Source organism: Homo sapiens, chromosome 18 (genome assembly GCF_000001405.40).
Source record: "Homo sapiens chromosome 18, GRCh38.p14 Primary Assembly".
Taxonomy (NCBI): Eukaryota; Metazoa; Chordata; class Mammalia; order Primates; family Hominidae; genus Homo; species Homo sapiens.
This window is the reverse complement of record NC_000018.10, coordinates 3,663,718-3,681,873: the sequence shown is the minus strand read 5'-3', so window position 1 is coordinate 3,681,873 and position 18,156 is coordinate 3,663,718. Positions and strand designations below refer to the sequence as shown.

The 18,156-nt window shown below is 43.9% G+C and overlaps 1 protein-coding gene across 33 annotated transcripts in view, besides 1 other annotated feature; it reads left to right on the top strand.

Annotated features, from left to right (window-relative positions):
• Positions 1–18,156, top strand: part of DLGAP1 (DLG associated protein 1) — a 959,276-nt gene that overhangs the window by 773,434 nt on the left and 167,686 nt on the right. The window lies entirely within an intron of this gene.
• Positions 15,811–16,105: a silencer, noted in NCBI's record as "tiled region #6172; K562 Repressive DNase unmatched - State 5:Enh". NCBI's record gives its function as "represses a minimal TATA promoter and a strong SV40 promoter by Sharpr-MPRA in K562 cells {active_cell/tissue: K562}" and the evidence as "EXISTENCE:reporter gene assay evidence [ECO:0000049][PMID:27701403]".

Here is an 18,156-nt window from a genome sequence, read left to right as displayed (position 1 = left end):
AGTGCTGGGAGCCACGGCGCCCAGCCACCACACACTTTTAAATGACCAGATCTCACACGAATTCACTCACTATCATGAGGACAATATCAAGAAGGGATAGTGCTAAGCTATTCACGAGAAACCATCCCCATGACCAAATCACTCCCCACAAGGCCCCACCTTCAACATTGGGGATTACAACTAAGCATGAGATTTGGAGGGGGACACAGATCCAAACCATGTGACTTGGTCTCTTAGTAATCACACAGCTGGCTTTTTGGGGAAGAAAGTTACTTATTTCATGTGAACCCAAGCATAAGGAATCTGCAGATTTTTTTCCAGCAATATCGATTTATGTAAATACTTTATATTCCATTCTTGGAGGAGACAAGCATTTCATTTAGTCATTGTTTTCAATCATATAAGGTAACTAGAGATCAAAGTTCTTTGAAGAAGATGGTTATAAGAAAATACCCTTGAATTTTAAAATGCCTTACACTTTTATTAGCATCACACAATGAATATTTGTCATTCTGTGGACTGTAAGCATAGTTTTCTCTCTGAAAATCCTGGCAAGGGAAATCCTTTTTTATTGATTCTCCTGGTCACAAATTATTATGAGAAATGCCCTTTTTTAGACATTATCTCTGACTCTAAGAAACTAAATGACAAAAAGTGAGAGGACAGTACTGTTTTCAAGTCCACTTAAGCCACTTGAAATTTCTCTAGGATGATGCCAATTCATAGCCCCACTCTAGTGTTGGAAACAGTCATTGAACTGAACTCTCATCAGCCTCCATTTTGTGTTGAAGATGTGCGTGCCTGTAAACTGAGATGATTTCTCAGCACAATTATCTCACCCTTTTTCATATCTCACCAGATCAACTGGGATTTCAGACTTACCATCATCCCATTGGGAGGAAGCCTTCTTAGCCTTCTTTCTTCATCTTTCACGAGGCTTGTGGAAACCAGAGTTTGCAGCATAGATTCAGGCTTCTTCATTCTTCCTAGGCCCAAGTGTGCAAATGATAGCATTTGTTTGTGAAAAACACTACCATGAGTCATGAGTCAAACAGTATTTTTCCTCCTTTTTTTTTTTTTTTTTTGAGACGGAGTCTCGCTCTGTCTTCCAGGCTGGAGTGCAGTGGCGCGATCTCGGCTTACTGCAAGCTCCGCCTCCCGGGTTCACGCCATTCTCCTGCCTCAGCCTCCCAAGTAGCTGGGACTACAGGTGCCCGCCATCACGCCCAGCTAATTTTTTTGTATTTTTAGTAGAGACAGGGGTTTCACCATGTTAGCCAGGATGGTCTTGATCTCCTGACTCCATGATCTGCCCACCTCAGCCTCCCAAAGTGCTGGGATTACAGGCGTGAGCCAGCACGCCCGGCCTCCAAATTTTCAATGGCTAAGCATTGAGGGTTAAAGAACAGAACATGTCTGACAACAGAATAGATTAGGTAAAATCATGACTTTCTCAGAAAGCTGAGACTCTGTGATCACTGTACTCACCTGTACCCCTTCCTTCTGCCCTCAGGCCTGTGGCTGCCACTGCTCCTTCTCCAGGTCCCCACACTCTGTGGATGCCCTGAGGACAGAGTTCATAGCTGCTCTTCCTGTGGCTTCCTTCAATTAACCCTAAGCAATTTGGAATGACTTTTGGTTTTGTTTCGCTCCCTTCTGAGGTCCCAACCATAACAGAGATGACAGATGGAGATGTCCAGCCAGGCTGTCCTGTCACCTACTGGCCTATCACCATTTTGCCAACCGTTAGAGAGAGGAGGGCCACACAGATTCTACAACCTCGACCAAGACCCCTGGTGAAGAATGGCCATGCTATTCTCTTGAGAAATGGTTCACATTTCATGCTATTCTCGTGGGAAATAGCTCCACCACCTAGTAAGAAACCCATGGCTGGGCATGGTGGCTCACGTCTGTAATCCCAACACTTTGGGAGGCTGAAGTGGGAAGACCATTTGAGTCCAGGAGTTCAAGACCAGCCTGAACAACATAGCAAGAACCCATCTCTATTTAAAAAAAAAAAAGAAAGAAAGAAAGAAAGAAAAGAAAAAGAAAACCATAATGATACTTCATGTCCCTTTGTTGTCTTTCTTTCTTTTCTTTAGCAACACGGTCTCACTACATTGCCCAGTCTGGTCTCAAACTCCTGGGCTCAACAATCCTCCCACCTCAGCCTCCCAAAGTGCTGGGATTATAGGTGTGAGCCACTTGTGCCTGGCCTGTTGTCTTTCTTAGAGCCAAACTACCACGGAGCTCATCGGCCCTATCTAGTAGCCCATATACTCTCTATTGCCTGCTGCCTGTGTGTTGCAGTGACCCATAAGAGGTAGGCCACTGGGGTGGCTGAACAGAAGGGGATGATGAAAACTGCAGGTGATCATCAAGTGCTCATTGCTGGTAGTCTGTACTTAGTCATTCTTGGCGCGGCTACACATGTTCAGTGTATTCAAGCTAGAGCTGTGTTTTTTGGGAAGTCAAAGTTGCTATTCATTCTCGCAACAGAAAGAATGCTGACAAGTAGTGTCATGTCACACAAGTAGTTTCATAATTACAGAGACTTCACTGTTTTTTATGTTGGAAAACCAACTAGTACAGAATTAAGGAATAATTATAAGAGAATGGAGGTCAACAAGAGCTTTTCTGAAAAGATAAAAAATCCATGGGGGTGGGAGTAGGGGGTGGGGAGGGAAAATGAGAAACCAATATTTGCTGCAAAGACACGGGGGCCTTGTTGATCAAGAACACAGCCAGGCACAGTGGCATGCGCCTGTAATCCCAGCTACTTGGGAGGCTAAGGCAGGAAGATTGCTTGAGCCCAGGAGTGTGAGCTCAGCCTGGGCAACATAACAAGATCCAGTCTCTAAAAATAATTAATTAACTGGTTTTTTAAAAAGAAGAAGAAGAAGAACCAGTGATAGTTATAGCTGTTCCTCTTCATTCACTATCCTCTGTGAGCTAAGAATTTCCCCCCAACATATATAAATGCAGGACACATCCCACACATGCATTTGCCATATAAACATCCCATGTATTGCGATGCATAGCAGAAACAAGTGTTCACACCTTCTTTTACTGGAGCTTTGTTTTATATTTGGGTAGAAAAGAATAATTTCTGTAATAACTAGGGGAGGGAAAAATCCTATTCTGCATTTCTATAAAATTTGAGAATTAAGTTGTGTGGTATAATAACCTATCAGAACATTGTAATGTTTATTTTGCCCTATTTTGCTTTCTGATCCTTGTTCGTTCTTGGAAAAGAAATTGTAAATGTATTTTATCCAAAGCCATAAAGCAATTATTTAATGTAATGGGGACTCTAAGAACAAATACAAGCATCCTCAAGAAGTTCAGCCTATTAGGAAGATAAGACACAAAAACAACGATCATATTAAGCAGAACATGCTTTGCTTTATAAAATAAGTAAGCAAACACAACGGTAAAGGAGAGATGGGGAAATGAGAGAAAACGTGAAGGAGATGTGATTTGAGCTGGGTCTTAAAGAATCTATGGGAATTCAATAGGCAGAGATAGAGAGATAATTCCAAGCAGAAGGAATCATCAAACAAATGACCTGGAGGTGGGAAAGGCCAAGGTATGTTAAAACAAGAGCAAGTAGGCTGGGCACACTGGCACACGCCTGTAATCCCAACACTTTGGGAGGCTAAGGCAGGCAGATCACTGGAGGTCAGGAGTTCAAGACCAGCCTGGCCAACATGGTGAAACCCTGTCTCTACTAAAAATACAAAAATTAGCCAGGTATGGTAGCACACACCTGTCTTCCCAGCTACTCGGGAGGCTGAGGCAGGAGAATCGCTTGAACCTGGGAAATGGAGGTTGCAGTGAGCCAAGATTGCACCATTGCACTCCAGCCTGGGCGACAGAGCTAGACTCCATCTCAAAAAAAAAAAAAAAAAAACCCACCGGGCACAGTGGCTCACGCCTGTAATCCCAGCACTTTGGGAGGCTGAGGCAGGCAGATCACTTGAGGTCAGGAGTTCGAGACCAGCCTGGCCAACATGGTGAAACCTCATCTCTACTAAAAATACAAAAATTAGCCGGGCATGGTGGCAAGCACCTGTAGTTCCAGCTACTTGGGAGGCTGAGACAGGAGAATTGCTTCAACCCGGGAGACAGAGGTTGCAGTGAGCCAAGATCGTGCTATTGCACTCCAGCCTGGGCGACAGAGTGAGACTCCGTTTCAAATAAAAAAAAGAAAAAAGAAAAAGAGAGCAAGTAGCTGGATGTGGCTGAGCACTGGATCCCTGAAGTGGATGGTCATAGGCACGCTAGAAACATGGATCTCTGTCTATTTAGCTGAGAATTCTGGATTAAATTCCTAGAAAGCCGCTGAAGGCTTTTAAGCACAAAAATGTCTTCAGAACTGCTGCAGGAATATACAGTACAGGTAATGAGTAATTTTAGAATGGATATAACTGGTAGGGAAGAGGACAGAGAATTCTCTTGTTGGAATGGCTAGTTTTGAGGGTGTGGGTCAGGTTAAGACAATAAATGAAACCAGTAGAGAGCTGATTCACTGGGGCAAAATGGAGCCAGGCTAGTGTTCACAAATGGCCCTATGGCAGATTCAGTGGACGTGAAGGAGTGATTACGGTGTAGGATAAAGGGATAGTTATCAAAGGAGTTCTTGACTCTTCCATAATTTAGAAATGGAACTGGTGGTTCAATTCCTCAACTGGTGGTTGAGGAACTGGAGATAAAGAGTCTTGAAGCTGGGGAAATTTGTGAGACCATAAACATGAATGTTGAAATCTCAGAGGATGGGATAGAAAGCCCAATGAAACGGGCTGAAGTCGCTACAGAAGATATTCCAGGAATATCCTGGAAGTTAGTAGATAATAGAGAAAACTGTATGAGTGGAATTAGCCTCAAAATAAGAGTTTAAAGGGTGGTGGCAACAGAAAATGCATCCATAAAGGGCAAGGGGAAAGAAAAAGTATGTCAATACACATGAAAACTGAGAACATTGATTGCATTCAGGGAGAGAAATCTGGTGATTGGAAACGCAGATAGGAGAGAGAGTTTTCAGTGACTACCCTGTTGAATTTGGGATTTTAAACCATGAAAATGCTTTAAATTAATTAGAAGAGTACTTTTTCTAATTAATTGGTTAATGTTTGTTTGTTTGTGTATACTGACCTCACAATTTCTTCTAAAAAAAAAAAACAGGAGAAGTAGCCTCAAATTGGCAAGGTCTTGAGGGTAATGGTATTACCAAGGAAAAATCCTTGGTTCCCTTAAGGCAGAGGTGTGAAAGAAGGAAGTTGCTCATTGTAAAAGGGGTTTTTGTAGGACCTTGAAGCCAGCTTATACTGAAGCTGCTACATTGTCTGGAGTAAATACCCAGGGTTTGTCATCTCGCGGCAGGAAAATTTAGGACATGGACACTCATGAGGAGTTTAGGAGCGGAAGTTTAACAGGCAAAAGAAGGAGGAAGAAAAAGAAAGGAAAACAGCTCTCTCTAGTGAGAGAAGGGTCTTCCGAGAGGACCTGCCAGTGGTGGATGTGCCAGATTTTATAGTCAGGTTTGAGGAGGCGGTGTCTGATTTACATAATGCTCACAGATTGGTTCAATTAAGTGTGACATTTACATAGCGAGCAGGGAAGGCTGGTTGCCCCACCCTAATCTTATTACGCAAATAAACTTTCTCCTTGGGCTGCGCCATCTTGTCTGCTCCTTGCTGTACACGCGGCTGGCAGAGGAAAGATGGGACTGCCATTTTGAACATGATTGGCACAACTGCCGGCATCTATGTCTGCAGCTTGATCTTACAGGCTGCTGTTTGTTAGAAAGGAAAATAGTTTGGGGCTGCTTTTCATTAAAAGGAAAACAAATAGTCTGGGGCTGCTTTTCATTCAAAGGAAAACATTACCAAGGACTTCCGTACCCTCACTATCTGCCTAAGTAATTTCTTCTTAACTCCTGTATCAATATTGGCTCATGAGAGCTGACTATGAAAGTTTTAATAATTTTTTCAGCTGGTTGACATCAAGTTGGTTGGTACAAAAAAAAGTCATGTGGCAGTATTTACACCATGGAAAACAGCAAATGCTACAAAGGAGAAATCCCCTCTGCCCCTCTTCAGAGAGCCTGTTGTTAAACATTTACCAGCACACCACTGCAAAGGCCTTAATGGAAAGCCCTGTTAGAGGGCACATTATGGAGTGGGTCAGATGGAGGTGGGGATGGGTGGCATGGATGAGTCAGCTGGAGGATGAGGCCGCTGGAGTGGATGAAGTGAGCAAAGGTGATAGGAATGCGGGAAACAAAACTGTAGGGTACCACTGCAGTAGCTTATTAGCAACAGATCTTTGGAGACGAAAATTCAGACTCTGAGGCCAGAGGGCCCCAAGTTAGAATCCAAACACTTCCACCCAAAGCTGTGCCATCAAACAGATGTTGCTGGATCTGAGTGTCAGTTTTCTCATATTTAATCGTGTTGTAGAGATGGAATGAGACAATGCATATAGAACAGCTAACCCTGGCTGGGTACGGTGGAGCACACCTGTAATCCTAGCACTTTGGGAGGCTGAGGCCGGCGGATTACCTGAGGTCAGGGGTTCAAGACCACTCTGGACAACCAACATAGTGAAATCCCGTCTCTACTAAAAACACAAAACTTAGCCAGGCGTGGTGGAGCATGTCTGTAATCCCAGCTACTTGGGAGGCTGAGGCAGGATAATCGCTTGAACCAGGAGGCAAAGATTGCAGCGAGCCGAGATCGCACCACTGCACTCCACCCTGGGTGACAAAGTGAGACTCCATCTCAAAAAAAAACCAGCTAACCCACTGCGTGGTACTTGGCAGTGCTCTGCCTATGCTAATGAATGGGGGTGATGATTGTGGTGGACTCGGTACTGATAGTGGAGGTGAATGGGGGTGATGATTGTGGTGGACTCGGTACTGATAGTGGAGGTGAATGGGGGTGATGATTGTGGTGGACTCGGTACTGATAGTGGAGGTGAATGGGGGTGATGATTGTGGTGGACTCGGTACTGATAGTGGAGGTGAATGGGGGTGATGATTGTGGTGGACTCGGTACTGATAGTGGAGGTGAATGGGGGTGATGATTGTGGTGGACTCGGTACTGATAGTGGAGGTGAGAAGAGTAGAGTTGGACGTGGTATAGGTGATGACAGTGGGGTGGTGATAGTAGGGGTGGAAGTGATTATAGTAGAGGTAGTGGGGTGGTAAAGGTGGTAGTGGTGGTGGCAGGTTTTTATTATTATTATTTATTACAGATAGGGTCTTGCTCTGTCACCCAGGCTGAAGTGCCATGGCACAATCATGGCTAGCTGCAGCCTTGAACTCCTGGGCTCAAGTGATCCTCCCACCTCAGCCTCATGAGTAGCTGGGATCACAAGTATGCACCAGTGCGCCCAGCTGATTTTTTTATTTTTTTGTAGAGATAGGAGCTCATTTTGTTGTGCAGGCTAGTCTCAAACTCCTGGCCTCAAATGATTGTCTCACCGCAGCCTCCCAAAGTGCTGGAATTATAGGCATGAGCCACCACACTTGGCCATGGCAGCATTTTTTAAAATATACATATATATATATATATTTTAATATTATAGAGACAAGATCTCACTCTGTTGCCCAGGCTGTTCTCAAACTCCTGGCCTCAAGAGATCCTCCCACCTCTGCTTCCCAAAGTGCTGGGATTACAGGCATGCGCCACCATGCCTGGCAATGGCAGCAGTTTTAAGAGTAGCAATCGGCCAGGCATGGTGGCTCACTCTTGTCCTCCCAGCACTTTGGGAGGCCAAGGCAGGTGGATAACTTAGGGTCAGAAGTTCAAGACCAGCCTGGCCAACATGGTGAAACCCTGTCTCTGCTAAAGTATAAAAATTAGCTGGGTGTGGTGGTGGGTGCCTGTAATCCCAGCTACTCGGGAAGCTGAGGCAGGAGAATCGCTTGAACCCAGGAGGCGGAGGTCGCAGTGAGCTGAGATCGCACCACTGCACTCCAGCCTGGGCAACAGAGTGAGACTCCCTCTCAAAAGAAAAAAAAAAGGCTGGGTACAGTGGCTCACTCCTGTAATCCCAGCACTTTGGGAGGCCGAGGCAGGCTGATCACCTGAGGTCAGGAGTTTGAGACCAGCGTGGCCAACATGGTGAAACCCCGTCTCTACTAAAAATAAAAAATTAGCTGGGCATGGTGGCGCATGCCTGTAGTCCCAGCTGCTCGGGAAGCTGAGGCAGGAGAATAGCTTGAACCCAGGAGTCGAAGGTTGCAGTGAGCCGAGTTCATGCCACTGCACTCCAGCCTGGGCGAAGAGTGAGACTCCATCCAAAAAAAAGAGTTGCAATCATCCTCCTCTCATTCACAGCAGCAATTGTGTGCTAACAATAGTTATTAAAATAGCTGTTTACTAGAATAGCTCTCTGCTATGAGTATCCTATCAACCATGGCTTTCTATCAATTAGTGCTTCTAAAGAGTGACAGTACACGATAACCAATGGGAGCAATGCTTTAGTAAACCAGACAGGTCGCTGAGGGCAACAGGAATATGAACAATTACAATGCCATCCAGTAAGGGCCATAATAGAGATATGCAAAGTGTTAAAAGAATGCAGTAGAGGGATAGGTTTGTGCCGCAGGAGGACCAGGGAGGCATCACTATCAAAGACAGTGAATTGAGCCCTGAATGTGAAAAGAAACTGGGGAGGGGCTCCCCAGGCACGCACAGAGGTGTGGAGGCAAGTAAGTACAAGGCATGTGAAGTAAAAGAGCGAAGCCAAAGAATAGGGCCTGGGGAACCACGGAAGACAGAGTTGAATCTAGACTAAGATAGACCTTGAACTTTATCCTTTTGCCAGTAGGAAGTAATCGGTGTCTTAGAGTATCATTCACTTTAATGTAGAATAAATTAAAGAGGCAAAAGACTGAAGACACAAAAACCAGTTGGAATACAACAGGCAAGAGGAGATAAGGACTTGCCCCAGGCATGGCACTGGGGATGGAGAGGAAAGAACAGGTGTAGGAATCCACCAGGGGAGGTGGCCAGGGAGAAAGTAGAACTACAGTGAAAGGAGGAGGCAGACTAGCTTGGTTCTTGCCAGCTAGTCTGCCTTGATGCCGGACATGTGCTCGCCACCACTATTGATGAATGGTTGAAACTGATACAACAAGATTAGGGAGAACACGATAACTTTAAGAGGAATACAAAGTAAGAACTAGAACTTAGTTGTGAGTAGTCTCTAAAAGTCTTAAACACTCCTGGGTTTATCTACCTGTTTCTCATTAACTTTTTTTTTTTTTTTTTTTTTTTTTTTTTTTTGAGATAGAGTTTTGCTCTTGTTGCCCAGGCTGGAGTGCAATGGCGAGATCTTGGCTCACCGCAACCTCTGCCTCCCAGGTTCAAGCGATTCTCCAGCCTCAGCCTCCAGAGTACCTGGGATTACAGGCATGTGCCACCACACCCAGCTGATTTTGTATTTTTAGTAGAGATGACGTTTCTCCATATTGCCCAGGCTGGTCTCGAACTCCTGACCTCAGGTGATCCGCCCTCCTCAGCCTCCCAAAGTGCTGGGATTGCAGGCGTGAACCACCGTTCCCTGCTCTTGTTAACTTTCAAGAAATAGATAAGTAGAAGCCAAAGAGCAAATTCTTGCCTCTGTGTGTGTGTGTGTGTGTGTGTGTGTGTGTGTGTGTGTCTAATCAGCAGTTGAATGATTAGTAATAATCACATTTTCTCCCATTGAAAAAAACTTCTAAAAGAAATCCCATCTTCATAACTTATTTTCAATGATTAAAAAAACAGAATATTAACTTTTCAAATCTGCTTTCTGAATGTCCCTCTTTCCTTTTTAATAATGCTTTTGTTTTTCCTGAACAAATATCTCATTGCAGAAAATTGTAAAGAAAAAAACACGAAATATACAAATAACATGAATTATGCAGGACTCTGTTGGCAATTGGAAGGATTTGGCTTCTACTCTGAGTGAAATATGATCATTTCCAGGTTTTGCCCAAGGGGGTGCATGATCCTGGCTTTTAAGAAATTATTATTCCTGCTCTGCTGAGAATAAACTACATGAGGGCAGGGGTAAAATAATCTATGACTATTTCCTTAAAATAGATTATTTAAAATGGAATTACTTCATCAAGACTATATTTGCTTAGGTTCTCTTAAAGATCATACTCCCATTATTTGTGAATGAGTATGTGTGGGAGAATATATCTGTTTCAAAAGTACTTAAGGAATACAAATGCAAAATCTGTTTTCAACCTTTATGAAAACAACTGGCTCCATCTTAGTCTTAAATAATCAACCTCTTGTGGCATGGTTGACATTTCTGCTCAAGTGCAGCCATGAAGCAGGAAAACATGCATTGCCAATTTAAGAGTCAGGTGGAACTACGAATCCCTTCCCTTATTTAACAAGCATTTATGGAGCACCTAACGTGTGCCAGGCACCAGGCTGCTCCTGAGGATACAGCAATAACACTGACCCAGCCTCTGCTCTGACTTCAAAAGCAAATAATCTGAGAGCTTTTTTTCTTGTAGTGTTTATACATAAAATGTTTACAGTTGCTACAAGTACTGTAAAGAGAGAGAGAGATAGGGGTGTTATGATCCTAGGCAACCATGAGCTGTGTGATCAAAGAAAATAAACTGCTTCTTCCTCAAGGAAGTCTGACTTGAATTCCAGGTGGAAAAAAAAAAAAAAAGCAGCAAAGAGCAAAGGCCAGAAGCAGGAATGAATATAAAATTTTGAGTAATTAAAAGAAGGCTAGAGTGACTGGAACACAGAGATGGAGGGGAGGGGAGGGAAGGTGGGAAAAAGAAAGAAGGGATGGGAGTGATCCAAGACAAAACTAGAAGTAATACTGGCTCAGGTAGCCCAGAACGTTGTAAGCCACATTAAGGATTTTGACAGTTTTGCGAAGAGCAGTGGGAGATTATTAAGCAGTTTCAATCAAGGGCCAAGCAAGCTAAACTTTTCTGATATTCTTAATAAGGTAAACTAAAATAAAACTAACAGATTGACCTTGATCTCAGTGTGCTTAGTTATGGGACAGTTAATGTTAGATGATTTGCCAACCAAAGAAAGCAGGTTTTGCTTAAATGACAGCAAACATTAATTTCAGGATATGGTTAATACAAGCAGGTATAATCAGAATTGTGACTTACATTTAAGCACACTGAACTAGACATTAATTAGAAATTTCTCATAAAGATACCACAATATTATGCTTGATTGCATCTGTAGAAAACAAACCCTTGAATTTTCACTTTAGGCTTAGAGAATAATCACCATTCTTCCAAATCCTTTGCCAAATGAAAATGAAAACTTCTAAGATGAATTTCTTTCTGCAGGGTAGAGATTACACTCATGTAAAGATTTAGCTGACAATTACCAAAAAAGAATTGGGGGAATAAATGGGAGAGACAGCTGTCCAGGAAGTTATCAGTTGCCAGATTTGCTTGTAATGCAGAGAAATTCCCAGGAAGTCAAAAAGTGTTCATTGGTGATTGCACGTCTTTTGAAATCGCATCAGAGGTCTCCATTTTCTAACCTCTTCTCTTGAAAATGAATATATGTTTCCAGTCTCCCACAGGATGTATAATTTTGCATGATTGTTAGTAGCTATTGGCACCATTTATCTCTCTAGTCATCCACTGTTCCATTTTGTATTAAGTCTGAATATGCTTTGCACACACTTACACTTCAAAAGACGGTAGTTAAAACGATCTCACTTCGATCGTCTTACTCCAGCAATACAATTTTTAGGGGTTTGTTTTGTTTTGTTTTGTTGTAAAACAATATACTCTTTTCCTATCGTTATAATGAAATGGGAAAGGTTCCCTTGTTCCCATCGCACACCCTATGTGGCTCACTTCTTCAGTGCCTCACTACGCATACCTCTAGGGGAGCATACAAACAGGCAGGCTGTAGGGCTCCCACCCCACGGCAGTGTCTAGGGGTGAATGTTTACAGCTGAAGCCCCAGTGGTCGTGTGTCGCAGGGTGTTCTTTTAGTTTAGCCCTATAGGCAGCTTGTGTTAGTTCACTTAGATCCGCTTCCTCATCACAAGGACAGAGGACTTTCTGTATCCGGGTTCTTGCCTTGGTGCACCGGAAGAACTGGATCACATGGGGGCTTGGATAATGAGTGGAAAGTTTTACTGAGTAGAAGTAGTTCTCAGCCATTGAGGAAGCCAGAAGGAAGATGGCCTTCCCCTAGAGTTGGGCCACCCGCTGCCCGGCTCTCCTCTGACTGCCCCGGACCAACTCTCCCTCATTCCGCAGGTCGCGGGTCGATGGCATCGATCCATGTGCGGGAGTCTATCGATGTGCTCTTCCGCAGACATGCTCTCTAATGACCAGACACATAACCACTCGTGTCTTCTTCTGCCGATGTGTTTCCCAACACGTCCAGCCGCTTGTGTCTCTTTCCTTACTAGGGTCTCGAATTTTTATAGGCCCAGGTTGGGGGTGTGGTGGGCCAAGGTGGTCTTGGAAAATGCAACATTTGGGCAGGAAGGCAGGAGTGCCTGTCCTCGCCTAGGTCCGTGGGGGTAGAGCCCTAGCCAGGGACCACGCCCTCCTCTACCCAGCACTTCCCTTCCCCTCTTCCGTATCATTTAAAGGCATCACGCTCTTCCCTTCCCAGCACTCCTTATCAATAATACGCAAGATTTTAAAGATGCAGTGCAAAATAAGAAAAACATCTGGAAGGTCTGGAACCCTAATACCAGTCTGCGTTGTCTTTCTTAAAGACTGAAATTGTACAACATTTATTTTCATTTAACAAACACTTATCACTTGTATTTGTCAGCCTTTGTTCAAAGATGCTGTACGAATATTAACATGTCAAATATTATGTAGATCATTCTATTGCTTTTTAATTTATTTATTTATTTATTTTGAGACAGAGTCTTACTCGGTCGCCCAGGCCGGAGTGCAGTGGCGCGATCTCGGCTCATTGCAAGCTCCGCCTCCCAGGTTCAAACGATCTCCTACCTCAACCTCCCAAGTAGCACCTGCCACCTCACCCAGCTAATTTTTGTATTTTTAGTAGAGACGGGGTTTCACCATGTTGCCCAGGATGGCCTCGAACTCCTGGCCTTAGGTGATCTGCCTGCCTCGGCCTCCCAAAGTGCTGGGATTCCATGCGTGAGCCAGTGCACTGGGCCAAGCATTCTATTTCTCATTTATGGTGCGTCTATTTGCCACCACTGCTTCGACTGAGGATAGCTTGGCACAAGATGTGAAGCTTGTTTTGAAGGCCTGAGCAGAGATTTTTTTTTGCACAGTGGAGTCCAGTATTTTGCCAAAGGCACAGAAGAAGGTACGGAAGATGAAAAACTTTTCCCCAGCCTGGGCAACACAGTGAGACCCCCATCTCTACAAAAATTTGCAAATTAAAAAAATTAGCTGGGTGTGGTGGCATGTGCCTGTAGTCCTAGCTACTTGGAGGCTGAGGGGGGAGGATCACTTGAGCTCAGGACTTTGAGGCTGCAGTGAGCTATGATCACACCACTGCACTCCAGCCTGGATGACAGTGTGAGACCCTGTCTCTAGAAAACATGGAAGGAAGGAAAGAAGAAACGAAGGAAGGAAAAACTGTTCCTTTACCCTCTTAAGTTCAGTGTTTTGGGGGCTGCAAAAGAAAAGACAGGCTTCTGTTCATTATGTATGGGAGTTCTCAGGAAAATATGCCTCAAGGGGGCACTTACAATTTGGGGCTTATGTGCCATCTGAACAAGAGAAGGGGAGGAGGAGAAGGGCACTTAAGGAAAAATAAATTACTTTTAAGAAAGATCATGGGCCTTTAGGAGAATAGATGGGAGATGATAGTTTTGTGACAATGCCTGTTTAGGTGTGCTGTGGGCTTCTCTTTGGTATTAGAGTCAACTTTCTCTGGTTGCAGAAAAATCTGTGGGAAGGGATTTATGACAATTGAGTTTTGGGAGGAGGTTCTGCTTTGGGGCAGATAAGGAGTTTAGAAATAAGCCTCTTATCAAATGCCTTCAGCTCAAAATCATTTTTATGCCACAGTGGCATATTCTAGAGGAACCTGGGCCAAGGAAGACCACCCTTGGCCTTACTCCTGGAGTCATTCCGGCTCTGGCCTAGCCTTGGGGGTGGAACTCTGCCCTGGTGTGGACAAGAATGGACCCTCTCAGGCCCCAGCATATTCTCAGAGGTCCAGTCACACCGACCTGGAAGTGTCAGAGATGTACTTAATTCTAGGTTTGCACTGAGGCCAGGTAGAAACCGCAGTACCTGGAGCATTTCTTTGTGTTTTGGGGTTTTAATAGACTTGGCCAGGAACCAAGTCCAAGCCCTTTCAACATCACAGAATGTTTTTTAATCTTCCCTAGTCCACCGGAGTGGAAAACTCACATAGTTCTCATCATTCACAAACACTTAAAGGGTGTTTACTAGGTACTAGATGGTATATGCTACTATTATCAGCCTCATTTTGTAAGTGGAGGAGACAAAGAAAGGTTAAGAGGGTTTTCCAAGTTCACATGGATGGTAAGCAGCACAGTCAATATTTGTTGACTGTGAGGCCGAGGCAGGTGGATCGTTCGAGGTCAGGAGTTTGAGACCAGCCTGGCCAACATGGTAAAACCCCGCCTCTACTAAAAGTACAAAAATAAGCTGGGTGGTGGTGGCGCATGTCTGTAATCTCAGCTACTCAGAAGGCTGAGGCAAGAGAATCGCTTGAGTCTGGGAGGTGGAGGTTGCAGTGAGCTGAGATGCACCACTGCACTCCAGCCTGGGCAACAGAGTGAGACCCTGACTCCCAAAAAAAAAAAAATTGACAAATTAGCAACCGGGCACAGTGGCTCAGGCCTGTAATCCCAGAGCTTTGGGAAGCCAAAGCAGGAGGATCACTTGAGGTCAGGAGTACCAGCCTGGACAACACAGTGAGACCTCATCTCTAAAACAAAACAAAAAAATTTAAAAATAAGAAAATTAGCAGGGTGTAGTGGTGGGCGCCTGTAGTTGCAGCTACTACGGAGGCTGAGGCAGGAGGCTCCCTTGAGCCTAGGAGTTCAAGATTGCAGTGAGCTATGATTGCACCACTGCACTGCAGCTTGAATGACACAGCAAGACCCTATCTCTAAAACAAATTTAAAAATTGTTTAAAAAAAAACTTTTTAAATTGACAGATTAGAATCTGATCAGTTTCTTTCCAGAGCTACTTGAACATCTCAGGAGATTCTGCTAAGGATGGAAAAGGAAGGAGTTTTAATTTCAAAGTTTCATTCCATGTCTTGTCAAACCAAGTCTAGATTTGCCATTTAGAACTGCATTCTCTGATCCTGTGTTTTAAGAGAGGTTTCTCCATGTAGATGAAACCAGGAGCTGCATCCTTCCTCGGATTGGTAGGTGTTCCATGGGCTTTATCTGTGCGGCGTAATGACAGCACACAAACGCCAGGGGGCAATGCAGTTTCACCGAAGAATCCTAGGAAACTCGGGTCTGGCTTTGACTAAGAACATTGGCAGGATCCTGGGGCAAAGGTGGAAATCCTTACTAAAAAGAGTTCCGCCAAGGAAAAAATATGTTTAAAAATCCTTTCTTTGAAAGCTTCCTGCATTGTCATCAAAATTGCCCTTCAGTATTTGTGCACAGCTGGAAGTTTTGTGATATTATTTGCAAAAGATTTACTTTTCGTTTTTTCTCAATGCGGCTGCCTAGTCTTTCCTGGAAGGTTTCCTGGGTCTTTCTGCGTAGGAAGGATTATTCTAACCAGCTCTCGGGTAGCCTGGATCACATTGTTAGGACTCTGTTGCGTCCTCTGCCTGACCGCGGGGCTCTCTTCCCCCGGTGCCCATTCAGCGCTTCCAGCTGCCTCTGCGGTTGGAGCCGGGCTCCCTTTAAGGTAATTCCAGTCTGGGCCTGTGTTTTGTTTCCAGCTCGGCAGCCGCCAGGTGTCTGCCCTCCCTTAACCTCCAAGGATGAGAGATCAAAGGTGCCCCTACATCTGCCTCCTGCCCAGCTCTTTAATCTGTTACATGTTCAAAAGGGACAAATGCAGTATTGTGCACTCAGGGAGGGAGGACAAATCAGAGAAGTGGAAATGGGCAGAGCCTCAGAATGTGTTAACTTACATAAATGATACGGAATATGCCTGTCGACATATTAGCCCTGCCACTGTAGAGGTGTTTTCTTCTTAAAAGAGCAAGAATATTATGCAGAAATGGAAATCCTCTTTTCTCCCTTTGGAAGCCTACTAAACCCATTTAATGAAATATCGTACACAGACCCATTTGGAGGTCACTATTAGAAATATAACGAGGTAAAACAAAATATTTTTTAAATTTATGAAATGGAAATTACAAGGGCACTTGTAGAGACCTGAGCTTATTTTATATGTGGCAAAAATGATAAACTAATCTTTAAGCAGAGCAGATATATTTTAAGAAAGACTATTCCCAGCGGAGCATGTATTTTCCATATCCGTAGAGCTAAGTAGGGGAATGCATTTTAAAACAGTAGGAATTCAGATTAGGTATTAAGAAAATAATACTGAGAGCAATGGTTATGGAAGGTACAGAATTTTCCTAACAGCACTAAGGAAGCAGCAATTATTTCTTCCATTTTTAGAGGAAGGGGTTGGGGGGAGGGGGAAGAGCTCCTGATCTAGTAACAAATTGTTTCTAAACTTAAATTTAGAAACATTTTAAACAGTTTGAGCATCCACGATTTTCTTTAGACTTTTAGGAGAGCTCCCTAATTTCCAACTAAAGACATAAATGTGAACAGGCACTAATTACTTTTTTCTCTATGCATTCCTGCGCCCACACACCCAGAGGCTCTCTTGTGCTTCCTCTTCCCCAGCGGTTACAAAAAGGAACTCCAGCAACTTCAGTTGTGCTTAGCTGCCGTCACAGACAATAGCATAGTAGGACCAGTGGCCTCATATTAAGTCACAGTCTTTCCCAGTTACAATGGCTGAGAACCCAGATTTTCACAAGGTGCAAAGAAAAGAATATTGACATGGTTATTAAAAGCTATGGTGAGAAGGGAGTCTTTATCAGCTGCTTCAAATATTTCATTCACCTTCTTAACAAATATTTATTCTGCACTTACTATGTCCAGACATGGTGCTGAACTCGGGGAATTCACTGGTGATCAAAAGCAGTCTTACCCTTTGTTCTCATGGAGTTTACCATCTAGGGGTAGAGACTAGCGTCAATCAAATAATCACAGAGATAACTGCGCTGAAAGAAAGAGACAGTTCTTGTGGGAGGATCTATTGTAACAAAGGGACTAATCTAGAGGCTCAGGGAGAACTTCCCTGAGAAAATCCTCATTAGCTAAGAGTCAAAGGATCAAGAAGGGTGAGGGATGGCACGTGCTAATTCTGCATTCAATATTAGTAGAACTGAAAGGGTGATGTGGCTGGAGTACCAAGAGCTAAGGGACAGGGCACATGTGTAGTCAGAAAATGTATGCACAGCTGACTATGTCTGTCATCTGTTGCTACATACCTTATTACCCCAATGTGGAGCAGCTGAAAAACAATCATTATATTATACCTTATGATTTTGAATCAGGAATTTAGGCAGGGTTCAGCTGGGCAATTCTTCTGTTCCACATTCAGCTAGAAGTTGGTGTATTAGTCAGAGTTCTCCAGAGAAGTAGTATATCCGTGTGTGTGTGTGTGTGTGGGTGTGTGTGTGTGTGTGTGTGTGTGTGTGTGTGTATACTGACCCATAATTATGGAGGCTGAGAAGTCCCAAGATCTGCAGTCAGCAAGCAAGCTTGAAACCCAGGAGAGCCAATGGTATAGTTCCAATCTGGGTCCAAAGACCTGAGAACATGGAGAACAATTGTGTAAGTTCCAGTTCAAGTCGAAGTCCAAAGGGAAGAGAAGACTGATGTCCCAGCAGAGACAGAGAATTCTCTCTTACTTTGTCTTTTTGTTCTATTCAGGACTTCAACTCATTGGACAAGACCCACCCACCTTAGGAAGGGAAGTCTGCTGTACTCAATGAACTGATCCAAATGTTAATCTCATCCAGAAACACCTTCACACACACTCGAAATAATGTTTGTTCAAATCTCTGGGCACCTCATGGCCCAGTCAAGTTGACACACAAACTAACCATCACAGTTGGGCTGGTCTTGAGAGTCCAAGACAGCATTATTCACATGCCTGGCACCTTCAT